Here is a 12,131-nt window from a genome sequence, read left to right as displayed (position 1 = left end):
GTTCCAGGGAACAGCAGCAAGGACTGAAAAATTATTTTTAAAAGTTAAAAATAATTCTGTTTCAAGGTTCTTTATTGTCTTTATTTGATGCCTCTTAATAAGCTTTATAAAAAAAGATTTTAAGTAGAAAATATCATGCTCTTATTTTCTTGGAACTATGCTTTCCATTGAAATAAAAAGTTGGAATAAATAGATTCAGCTACTTTAAGAGAACATTACATAATAACTTTATAGCTCTAAAAGGTTTTTAAAATATTTATAAATTTTGACATGTACGTAGTCCCAAAATGTCTGAAATGAATAAACTGACTTTTCTATGTGTTCTCTATGGCCAAGTCTGGGAACGAGTGTTTAAATAATGAATATAAATGTTTGAAAAATCAATTTTATGACTCCAGTAGACTAAATTTCATAAATGATTAGAGTTACTTAACAATTCCCATGAGTGTGGAGTTTAGTAACTACACAGTGTTATTGCTTCTTAGATTTCTATCTGAGGGCTTTAATATTATTTGCCAGTAGAGTGGCTGTGGGGTTTTTTTATGGCTATTATAGCAAGGAAGTAGGTAGATGCAAAAATGGCTGGATTGATGATGATAATGACAGTAATGATATTTTTAATTTTTTATGTTCTCTGAAGTTCCTAGACCTTATCCTTTTCCAATTGATTTTATCGTTTTTATTATCATCTAACATTTAAAGAGCACAAGTTACCTTTAGACTGAATTAAACAATACATGCAAATAAGAAAGTAGAACAGCTGAGATTGTCATGGTAAAGTTAATCGTGTTGCTTTACCTCATGTGGCAGACAGTTGACTGCTGTTATGGGTTGACACTGCTATGGGTTGAATCGTGTCCCTCAAAAACTCATATGTTGAAATTGGGCCAGATGAAGTGGCTCGCACCTGTAATCCCACCACGTTGGGAGGCTGAGATGGGAGGATCGCTTGAGACCAGGAGTTCGAGACCAGCCTGGTCAACCTAGCAATATCCCATCTCTAAACAAACAAACAAGCAAACAAGCAAACAAAGCAAACACACAAGCAAACAAGGAGCCCTCAGCTCCTCAAAATGTGCCCTTATTTGGAAATAAGGTCATGGCAGATGTAATTATTTAAGATGAGGTCATACTGGAGTAGGTAGGGCCTCTAATCCACTATGACTGGTATCCTTACAATAGGGGGAAATTTGGACATAGCTATGCACACGGGGAAAATACTATGTGATGATAAAAGGCAGAGATCAATGTGACATTCCTACATGCCAAAGACTGCCAGCAAAACGCCAGAAGATGGGGGCGGGCATGGAACAGACTTTTTTTTTGAGACAGAGTCCCACTCTGTTGGCCAGGCTGGAGCGCAGTGGCGTGATCTTGGCTCACTGCAACCTCTGACTCTCGGGTTCAAGTGATTCTCTTGCCTCAGCCTCCCAAGTAGCTGGGATTTCCGGTGTGCCCCACCACACCCAGTTCATTTTTTTTGTATTTTAGTAGAGACAGGGTTTCACCATGTTGACCAGGCTGGTCTCGAACTCCTGATCTCAGGTGATCCACCCAAAGTACTGGGCCTCCCAAAGTACTCGGCTTCTCAAAGTACTGGGATTACAGGCGTGAGCCACCATGCCCAGCTGGAACAGACTCTCACAATCCTTAGAAGGAACCAACCATGCTGACACCTCGATTCAAATTTCCACCCTCCAGCACTGCAAGACAATAAGTTCCTATTGTATGAGCCACCTAGCTTGTGGTACTTTGTTACAGCAGCCCTCGCAAACTAATACAGCTTCTTACCAGACAGCCATTCCTCTTTGTTAGCTACTGCACACATTTATGCTATTATAGAAGTACAACTCTTATGTAATGCAGACACACCAAGATCTGCCTGCTCCAAAATGTTTTCTCTGCTCCTTCAGCAGTGGGGAGAGGATGAGGAGGGGTGGTGTTAAGTATTCCCAGCTTCTGAATGTGAAGATGTTTTCCTGCCATGTGCTACTGACCAGGTCTGCTCGGAAGGCCTTGTGCATAGTTACCTCCTATATCACTTTGTCAACATCCCCTTCAGTGTTTAGCTGTTGCTAAAGACTGCCCACCTGATGCATCCCTGGGGTTTTGCTATTTAGTTATTTTATTTGCTATTTAGTTTATTTTGTGAGTATATTAGACTGATATCTAATGTTCAGGTGAATGCCAGCTCTAGCTCCAGTGCTCAGGAGGCCTTATATTAGTCAAGATTCTCCAGAGAAACACAACCAGTGAGATATAAAGAGAATTATTATAAGGTATTGGCTCATGTAATAATAGAGGCGAAGAAGTCCCACTATCTGTCATTCTTAAGCTGGAGACCTAGTAAAGCCAGTGATGTAATTCTGGTCCAAGTTCAAAGGCCTGAGAGCCAGAGAGCCAATGATGTAAGTCCTGGAATGAGGACAAGAAAAGACAGGTGTCCCAACTTAAGCAGACAGAGGTGAAGTCTCCCTTCCTCCACCTTTTTGTTCTATTTAGGCCCTCAGTGGATTATATAGGGGCCACTCACACTGGGGAGAGCAAGCTATCCTATCATACATTCTATTCCCTTCTGGAAACACTCTCACAGACACACCCAGGATAATGTTTCACCAAACATCTGGGCTCCCAGTGAACCAGTGTTATGTGTCAAGTTGACAGGTAATTAATTAACTATCCCAGGTCTAGTTTAGTTCAGGAGCTCTTCCAAATCAGACCTAGTTCTAGCCTTCAAGGGGTTTCCATCCACTGAGAGAGAAACATCTATATCATAGGGAGCCTATGTTCTGAATCCTGCACTGTGCCAAGTTTAGATATATCATCTCACTCATACACCTAAGCTCACATAATGAATATCACTCATTGTCTTGTGTCAAACACACAGCACAGCTGCCTGGAAAGGTCACCTAAACCAGGCACCCTGGTCACTCAGTAACTGTGTGCAACTCCAGAGCAAAACCAGAGGGTCCCATCCAGTCATGCTAGTCTCAGGTGGCTCCGGAGGAACAGCAGGAATCTGATCTGGAGCAAAGTAGACTCCACAGTGGTCTGAAAGCAGAAGGTGGATGAGGGGTGGCACCTGGAGACATTTCCCAAGCAACAACCCAAGAAGGAGGGAGTCATCATGGGGGATCCTCAGAGAAGAACCTGGGCATGAACCAAAATGGGAAGGAGCCTAAACTGGGTGGGAGAAACTTTTCCTCTGAAGTTCTAAAATGCCATCTTCCCCAGAGCAGTTTTCCCTGCAGTGTGTGCGGTCCAAAGGGCATGTGTATCCAAATGCATCAGGGCATTTGTTAACAATACAGATTCCTGGACCCTCCCTCTGATCTACTGAATCCTAACTCAGGATGCTGGAGCCTAGAATAACTCTGCTAACAATCCATCTCAGTAAACCTCATACAAGCTACATGGAGAACCCCTTCCCCAGATGATGGCCCAAGCCCTGGGCCAAACATTCATTGAATAAACATTGACTATACACTCCCATGTGCTAGAACCAGTGCTGGGAAATGAATAAGACAAACCACCCCCATTACCATGGGCAATAAGAGAATCATGAATACATCTATTTCTGGAATATCTTATATTTCCAAGGTCACCAAAGTATCTAAGAACAACTATTCTGCTAATTATAGCTTAATTGAGAAAAGGAGGAACTGGGAGCTTCACAGGCTCATGTTTGAACATTGAAGAGGTCTGGGTAAATGGTTCTGGAGGGCTATTCTGAGCTTCCTTAAAAAGATGCCCCTACTGCAAAGAGTTCTGTCTCTTTTTGTCTTCTGTAAAAGAAACAAAACAAAGAAATATCAAAGAAATACAATTGGGAAAATAAGACTGTTTTAAAAAGTCATTTGCAGAAATTGACAAAAACAAAAGAAATTCTGTGACTGAGTCTGCCCTTGTATTCTAAATACCTACCCATTTTTCTTCTGATTTCTTCCTCAAAAGTAATATTGTGAGGACAGAGGCAGCCTTGCTGTAAATGGTTCTGGTGTCAGCCCTGGATAACACACTCCAGCAAACAAGAAGCATTCAGGCAAGCATAAATGAATCCCATGAGGTGGCCTGCACAGTTGGGAACAAGTCTGACTAATCTAGTAAAAAGAAATATCTAACCCAAAACATATACATTTAGATATAACTCCATAAAGCCAACACTAATTAATCCTCCTGCTCATATAAAATGGCAAAGGAATTAACAATATTGCCAACTCTCAAAAAGTCTTTTAATTGCCCTGCAATTCTTTCCAAACAGCAGGCATCTGCCCATACGTGGTTGCACATCACACACCAACACAGATCTGGCCTTCACACAAAGCACTTGGTGCTCAGCCTCACAATGGTATTTTGTTGAAGCCTGGTACACATACCCCCACAAATTGCTCAGAAGCCAGCAAGGTAAAAGTATCGGTTTATCTTTGGAAACAATCAACTACTGAGTGTCTAAAGTACCCCCAGAGCCTTTCAGGTCCCCCTCTGGCATTCCCCTTCCTCGGAAGTTATTGTTGTTTTTCATGCTAGGAAAGGAATTGATTCAGACTAACATCGTGGGCTATGGGCATCTTGCCTTCCATTCGGGAAAGGTCATTAAGTATGTTCTTCATTTAGAATGACTTTCCTTTTGATTCAAAGCCAAAAATGAAAAGCACTGGAAAGTAGGGTTTCCATCTGAATACAAATTCTAGGATCGAATCCTGGCATTCTGGATGGTAAAGCAGGTGAGATGCTCAGCCCTCTGCCCTGAGTACAAAGAGGAGTCTCAAGAAGCCCCCATTCTGGTCCATGACTCCAGCTGAGGCAGAGACCTTCAGGACCTCACTGGAATGTGAGTTCTGAGGGCGTTCTGTCTTTAGCCTAGCCTGATTTCAATGCTGGATTTTCCATCTTCCCCACTGGGAGCCTCCACTCCAGATGGTTCTCAACTCCCAAGGATGGAATTATTCTGCTGGAGGACCAGGAGCCAAGCCTTTCTGGGAGGCCCCAGCTGAAAAAGCTCAGACTCATGATACATAAGCTCTGCAAATTGCCAGGTTCACTGATAGAATAAACAGTCATAGAGTACCTGCTATCTGTAAGGCAGTGCTGTTCCAGGAGCTCCGGGAGGCATAAATGAATTGAAGATCCTCTTCTCAGGGAGCTTAGAGTGACAGAAGAGGGGGAAGTGGTCAAAGGGCATGTGAATAAATACATATTATCACCAGGTTGAAAGAAGGAGAGTGGCTCTGATGATCTGTGAGCATTCCAAGTTGTTCATTGTTTTGGAAGTTTTCTCAACAGCATGAAGTTTCCAGACTTCTTTCCTGGAACAAAGAACTAATTAAGAGGCCCTCAAGACTTTTGGATTCCAAGTTCTGCACTGCTGACTCTGTTTGGAAACATACAGGGCTAAAGTTCACAAAACTTGAATGTCCTGATGCTCCCTCTCTCCAGACCACCAGTGTGGAGTTTCACTGGTTCTCAGGCCATTCTTGGCTATGGTCTCCATGAATTGGACCATGCCAAGTTGGTGAAGCTCCCAGCAACTTAGGGCATCTTAACCTGAGGGATCAGACAGAAGAGTAGCTCAAGGGTCACCTCAAATGTCCAAACTTCAGTTGTCATTGGGGTCTGGAGCTGAACAAGGCCTGCTGAAATTTTCTCAGATTATATTTAGTTAAATTCTTTGAATTACTCTATTTTGAGAATTCTGCCTTGACCACCTTATCTAAAGTAGCTCTCCCTTGTTTTTCACTAGTTTACACAACCCTTGTTTTATTTCCTTTATAATACCACAATTTCTAAATAATCTGACTATAGTGCAATGGCATGATCTCGGCTCACTGCAACCTCCGCCTCCCAGGTTCAAGCGATTCTCCCACTTCAGCCTCCCTAGCAGCTAGGATTACAGCTACACACCACCACACCCAGCTAATTTTTGTATTTTTAGTAGAGATGGGGTTTCATCGCATTGGCCAGACTGGTCTTGAACTCCTGACCTCAGGTGATCCACCTGCCCTGGCCTCCCAAAGTGCTGAGATTACAGGCATGAGCAGCCGCACCCAACCTATTTGACCATTTTCTGTTTTTTCCCTCTAGACCCTAATGGCAAGATCTGTGTCTGTCTAGTTCACTGCTGTATTCTCAGCTGAAAACAGTTTCAGATATGTGATAGATACTCAGTGAGCATTTTTCTAATCAACGAATGACTAACAGGAACAGACAAAGGGTATATAGCATAACAGTCTGGTTTCCCTTCCTTCAGACATGAACCCAGCAGAAATAGCTAATTATGAGCACAATGGCCATATAATATGCATAGAGGTTAAGTAAGTCTTCAAATATATATGTAATTTTGTGTCTAGAACTCTAAGCTTTTCCTCTCCTCATCTAATTGAAGAATTGGACTGAATAGCCTCTGAGATCCCTTTCAGCTCCAGCACAGCATGACCTGTGATGCAGCATCTGGTGAGACCAGCCATCTTCCATCTCTGAACTCTTCTCTAAACCAGAGGCAGGACTAGTACTGCCTTCAATCTGAGAGAGGAATGGCTGGTTTCTAAGATGACTGAAAAAGGGTCCACATGAGCATTATTTTTTAGAAGCTTCTGTGCTTTGGTAGGACTAGCTCTGACTTAGACACACACATTATCATTTCCTTATAACGCCTAAAGGCGGGATGGGGTTCAACTTAAGTGTGTGTCCTCAGAGATGCTTATCTATAAATGAGCTCAGAATAGATTATCTACATCACGTTCTCCCAATAATTATTCTTGGGTGGGTCATTGTTCATGCACCACATATGTTCCCAAGTGCTTTTCTGTCTACCCATCTCCTGAGCATGCTCTTCCCTCATGGAATGGGTATTTTCCATTTGGACCACTCAGCATGCATTTTCTCCAGTTCTTTAAAAAGGAAGTTTAATTTTCCTTCATATGTCTACCTCCACTGTGTGCACTGGGAAAAACTGACCCTACTCTCAGTTCCATGGGTGAACCTTGACTAGCTTAAGCCACAGACCCATAGAGTACCCTTAGACTGGCTGAGGTCACTGCTGGGTATGTCATCCTGCAGTTCCAATGAGAGGAGGGAGGTGTCTTCTTTGGTGAGTTACTATAACTCTGCCCCTAATAGCTAGATCTCTGCTGCAGGTTCCACAGATGACCGTGCAGAGCTCAAGGCAAAGAGCCAGAGCCCATCCTGGTGACCAGGGAGCTCTGTTTTGGGGGTTCAGTTTGGTAGTAATGCCTGGATGTAGTCTTAAGATCAGTGGACCAGGATCAGGCAATGACCATTCCAAGAAGGGAACTAAAATTAAAACTTACAAAATCAGAAAGACAATGGAAACTAGAAGATAAAGGGAGCACAGTAAAGCTCTCCTAGCCACACTCCACCTCATGCTCATGTTAGGTGCCTTAGCTGATACACCCATTATTCTTACTTCTAGCGGTATTTGTCCTGGTGTATTGCGAATGCAAAATGTTTCCTCTATTCCCTCAGTTCCTAAGGACTTTGGGATCATCTTTAGCTCCTTTCTTTTCCTCATCCCACAAAAATAATCCTGTAGTAAATCTTGTGGGCTTTATTTTATTTTCTGTTGTGTTTATTGCAAATTGACAAATTATAATTGTACACATTTATGGGGTATAAAGTGATGCTATATATTTACATGTTGAATTGTTAAATCAAGCTAATTGTCATATCCATCACCTCAAATACTTTTGTGGTAAGAATATTTAAATTCCATGTCTTACTAAGTTTGAAATATGTAATACATTATTATTATTATTATTTTGAGATGGAGTCTTACTCTGTCCCCCAGGCTGGAGTGCAGTGGCACAATCTCGGCTCACTGCAACTTCCACCTCCCAGGTTCAAGCAATTCTCCTGCCTCAGCCTCCTGAGTAGCTAGGATTACAGACACCTGCCACCACACCCAGCTAATGTTTGTATTTTTAGTAGAGACTGGGTTTTATCATGTTGACCATGCTGGTCTCAAACTCCTGACCTCAAATGACCCACCTGCCTTGGCCTCCCGAAGTGCTGGAATTACAGGCGTGAGCCACTGCGCCAGCCTTTTTTTTTTCTTTTCTTCATTATTTTTTAATAGAGATGGGGTCTCACTATGTTGACCAGGCTGGTCTCCAACTCCTGGCCTCAAGCAATCCTCCCACAGCAACATATTATTCTTAATCACAGTCACCATGCTGTGCAATAAATTCCAAAAAAATGTATTTCTCCTGTCTAACTGAAACTTTATACCCTTTGACGAACAACTCCCTATTTCCCCCACCCCTAAGTCTCTGATAACCACCATTCTTCTCTTCATTCAATTGTTTTAGAGTCTACATATAAATGAGATCACGTGGTATTTGTCCTTCTGTGCTTGGCTTATTTCATTTAGCATAATGTCCATGCTGTCCCACATGATAGAATTTCCTTCTTTTTCAAGACTGAATAGTATTCCATTGGGTATATATGCTACATGTTCTTTATTCATCTGTCAATAGAAACTTAGGTTGATTCCCTATTTTGGCTATTGTGAATAATGCCACAATAAACATGGGAGTGCAGATATCTCTCTGACATACTGTTTTCAGATTCTTTGGACATATACGCATGTATCAGTCTATCTTCATACTGCTATAAACAACTGCCCGAGACTAGGTAATTCACAAAGGAAAGAGGTTTAATTGACTCACAGTTCAGCATGGCTGGGGAGGCTTCAGGAAACTTCCAATCATGGCAGAAGGTGAAGGGGAAGCAAGACACCTTCCTCACAAGGGAACAAGGAGAAATGCCTAGCGAAGTGGGAAGAGCCCCTTATAAAACCATCAGATCTCGTGAGAACTCACTCACTGTCACGAGAACAGCATGGGGAAAACCACCTCCATGATTCAAGTACCTTCACCTGGTATCTCCCTTGAAACACGGGGATTATGGAGATGACCATTCAAGATGAGATGTAGGTGGGGACACAAAGCCTAATCATATCAAAGCAGAAATGGGATTGCTAGATTATATGGTCACTCTATTTTTAGTTTTTTGAAAAACCTTCATACAATTTTCCATAATGGCTGTACTAATTTACTTTCCCACTTTATTGGCTTTATTTAGCATATATATTCCAAATACAACTATTTATCATTAATTCACCACTATCATCCTAGTCCAGGCCTCTATCAATCAGTTCTTGCCTGGGCTAATATAATACCCTCTGGACTAATATAAAACTCTGAGTCTATCGTCAGTGCCCTTTATTCTCCACATAGCAGTCAGGGTCATTGTTTCAAAACTTAGGTCAGATCCTGTTATTTCTCTGCTCAAAGTCTTCCAATGACTACACAATACTGAAAGTAAAACTTGAAGTCTTCACCATAGCTTCATAAAGCTATTTGTCCCAACTTCGCTCTGCCCTTCACTCTTTCTGCTCTAGTCATACTGGTCTTTTTGCTTGAAGCCTAGAAAGCTCTTCTCCCAAACATTTACATGAGTTGCTCCTTCACTTTGTTTTTTTTTTCTTTAAAAGTAATTTGATCCTGATTACAAAATACAGGTGAGGAGCATAGGCAATGCCTGTATCCCCTTTGTTGCCCATCTTCCCAGTCTATGCTGCTATAAATACCCTGTGTACAACAGCAAGCTCATGCTGTCTCCAAGCGCTTGCACATTCTAACAGCTGCAGAGTATAGTATATGACCAGGTAGAAAGTTAAACAGGAGCTCCACTCACAAGGGAGGGCCCCTCCAATTAGTCTTCCGGCTCCCTTGTGCTAATAGTAACTGGTTTCTCTTCCTATTGGTCATAAATAAATTACACCTGCACAATTCTCCGAGCGCTTTCAAGTAACGTCAGAAGGCAGTAACTAAGACCCTTTCCTATGTCCCAGGCTGCCTGTGGCACCTGGACTGCTGCTGCCCCTGGGTCCCGCACATTCCAGGGCGACGACGGAGGAAGGGCAGGCCAGGCCAAGCATGAGAAATTAACAGTCTTTACTGGGCTCAGACCAGGAGTCCGTGGGTCTTGAGGACCTCTGTGTATTTGTCAGTTTTTCTTCACGTTCTTCTCGGCCTGTTTCCGTAGCCTCATGAGCTGTTTCTTCTTCCAGTAGTGGATCTTGGCTTTCTCCTTCCTCTTCTCCTCCAGGGTGGCTGTCACTGCCTGGTACTTCCACCTAACCTCTTGAGCCTGTCGCCCCAGAAGGGCAAACTTTCTTGTAGGCTTCAGACGCACGACCTTGAGGGCAGCAGGAACCACCATCCGCTTTTTCTTATCGTAGGGCGGTGGGATGCCGTCAAACACCTTGAGGCAGTCCAGGGAGGCATGGCCTCGCTTGGTCTTGTGGCGCAGCATGTATGCCTCGCACTGTCGGCCAGAAGATGCGGCTGGGGGCCCGGAAGTGGTAGGCGCTTCGAAAAGGGTTGGTGTTCATCCGCTTGCCGAGGAAAGCCAGATTCTTCAACTTGTTTCTGTAGAAATTGCCAGAGATGTTGATGCCCTCGCAGCGTACGACTACCACCTTCCGGCCCAGCAGTAACTACTTAGCCACGATGGCCGCCAGGCGGCCCAGGAGATGGCCTTGACCATCGAGCACCAGGACCTGCACCTCTGCCATCTTCCGCAGCCGCCTGGGAGAGGCTCCTTCACTTTATTTAGATAACTGCTCAAACACTACCTCCTCTGACAGAAGGCCCCCGATCTATTTCTCCGAAAAGGTTATTTTATGCCTCCTATCCTCTTACCTGCTTCATTTTTCCTCAAAGTCCTTATCATTTGTTTGATGTCTGTCTCCTACCCTTAGAATGTAAGTCCCAAGAGGACAGGCACCAGTGTTGAACTGCCTTTTTCCACTAACAGTCGAAGGGTCTAAGAAGAGCTAAGACTACAGGGACAGTAAAATATGAGTCCTACTACTACCTCTTCCTTCATAAATTTGGGCAAGTATCTTGACCTCTTTGCCTCTGTGTTTCCTCCCTGTAAAGCAGATGAGATAAAATGTGTTCTGTAAAATGAAAAGATAAAGCTCTGTCTTCCTGGCTTCATTATTCAAGGTTGGTATAGTGTCTATTATTATTTCATCCAGCCAAAAGATCTAATGAATTACAAAATATGCTTTGGAACTTAGAACAGTTTTATTTTGATTCTTTACTCTCTTTTCCTTTTTTTATGTTAATCTACCATTTCTATTTCTTCTAGGAAATACTTGTTTATGCCTTTTGCCCATTCTTTAAAATATTTATTTATCTTTCTGCCATTGAAATATAGTTCTTTATTTGCCTGGAATGTCTCTTTCTAGGCTAAACTTTTGAACAATTTTTTAATGTAAAATTCTAGCTTGATGATGATTTTCTTATTTTATTTTATTTTATTTTATTTTTGAGACAGGGTCTGGCTCTGTCACCCAGGCTAGAGTGCAGTGGTGCAATCTCAGCTCACTGCAATCTCCACCTCCCAGGCTCAAGCAATCCTCCCACTTCAGCCTCCCAAGTAGCTGGAACTATAGGCATGCACCTCCACACCTGGCTAAGATTATTTTCTTTCAGCACTTTATAGATATCTTGCCACTGCCTTCTGGATCTTATTGTTTCTGTTATGAAATTAGCTTTCTGTCTTATTGTAGTTCCTTTAAAAGTAACATATCTTTTTATTTCCTCTGACTTTTCTTAAGATTTTTTTCTTTGTTTTTGGTTTTCATCAGTTTTATTATAATGTGTCTAGGCATGGTTTTCATTGTATTTATTCTGCATGGGGTTCACAGTGAGTTTCTGTATCTATGGCTTGATGTCTTTCATCAGTTTTGGAAAATTCTTGACTATCTCTGCAAATATTCTTCTACCCCATTGTTAAATGCATTCCCTTGTTAAATGCAAATTCAAATGTTAGACCTATTCACCATGTTCTGCACGTCTCATACTTATTCATGTATTTTTCTATCTTTTTTTCTCCATGCTTCACTATGAATATTTCTAGTCACCTATTGTACAACTCACTAATACTCTTTTTACCTGTGTCTTATTTGCTGTTAAACTCATCTACTCAGCTCTAAATTTCAGGTGTAGTGTTTTTTATTTCCAGAATTTGAATTTGGTTCTTTTTAAATATAAATTCTTATTCTCAGTTAAATTCTTCATTTTGTCATGTATTCTCTT

The 12,131-nt window shown here is 42.1% G+C and overlaps 1 pseudogene across 1 annotated transcript; it reads right to left on the bottom strand.

Moving 5' to 3' along the window:
• Positions 1-9,056: 9,056 nt before the first annotated feature.
• On the bottom strand, positions 9,057-10,613 carry RPL13AP3 (ribosomal protein L13a pseudogene 3; annotated as a pseudogene). The gene has a single exon (NR_004844.2). The product of NR_004844.2 is annotated as a ribosomal protein L13a pseudogene 3 (transcript).
• Between the last annotated feature and the right edge of the window lie 1,518 nt (positions 10,614-12,131).

The sequence above is a fragment of the Homo sapiens genome, chromosome 14 (genome assembly GCF_000001405.40).
Source record: "Homo sapiens chromosome 14, GRCh38.p14 Primary Assembly".
NCBI classification, from domain to species: Eukaryota; Metazoa; Chordata; class Mammalia; order Primates; family Hominidae; genus Homo; species Homo sapiens.
Note: the sequence above shows the minus strand (reverse complement) of the source record. Positions and strands in the feature narration are given on the sequence as shown.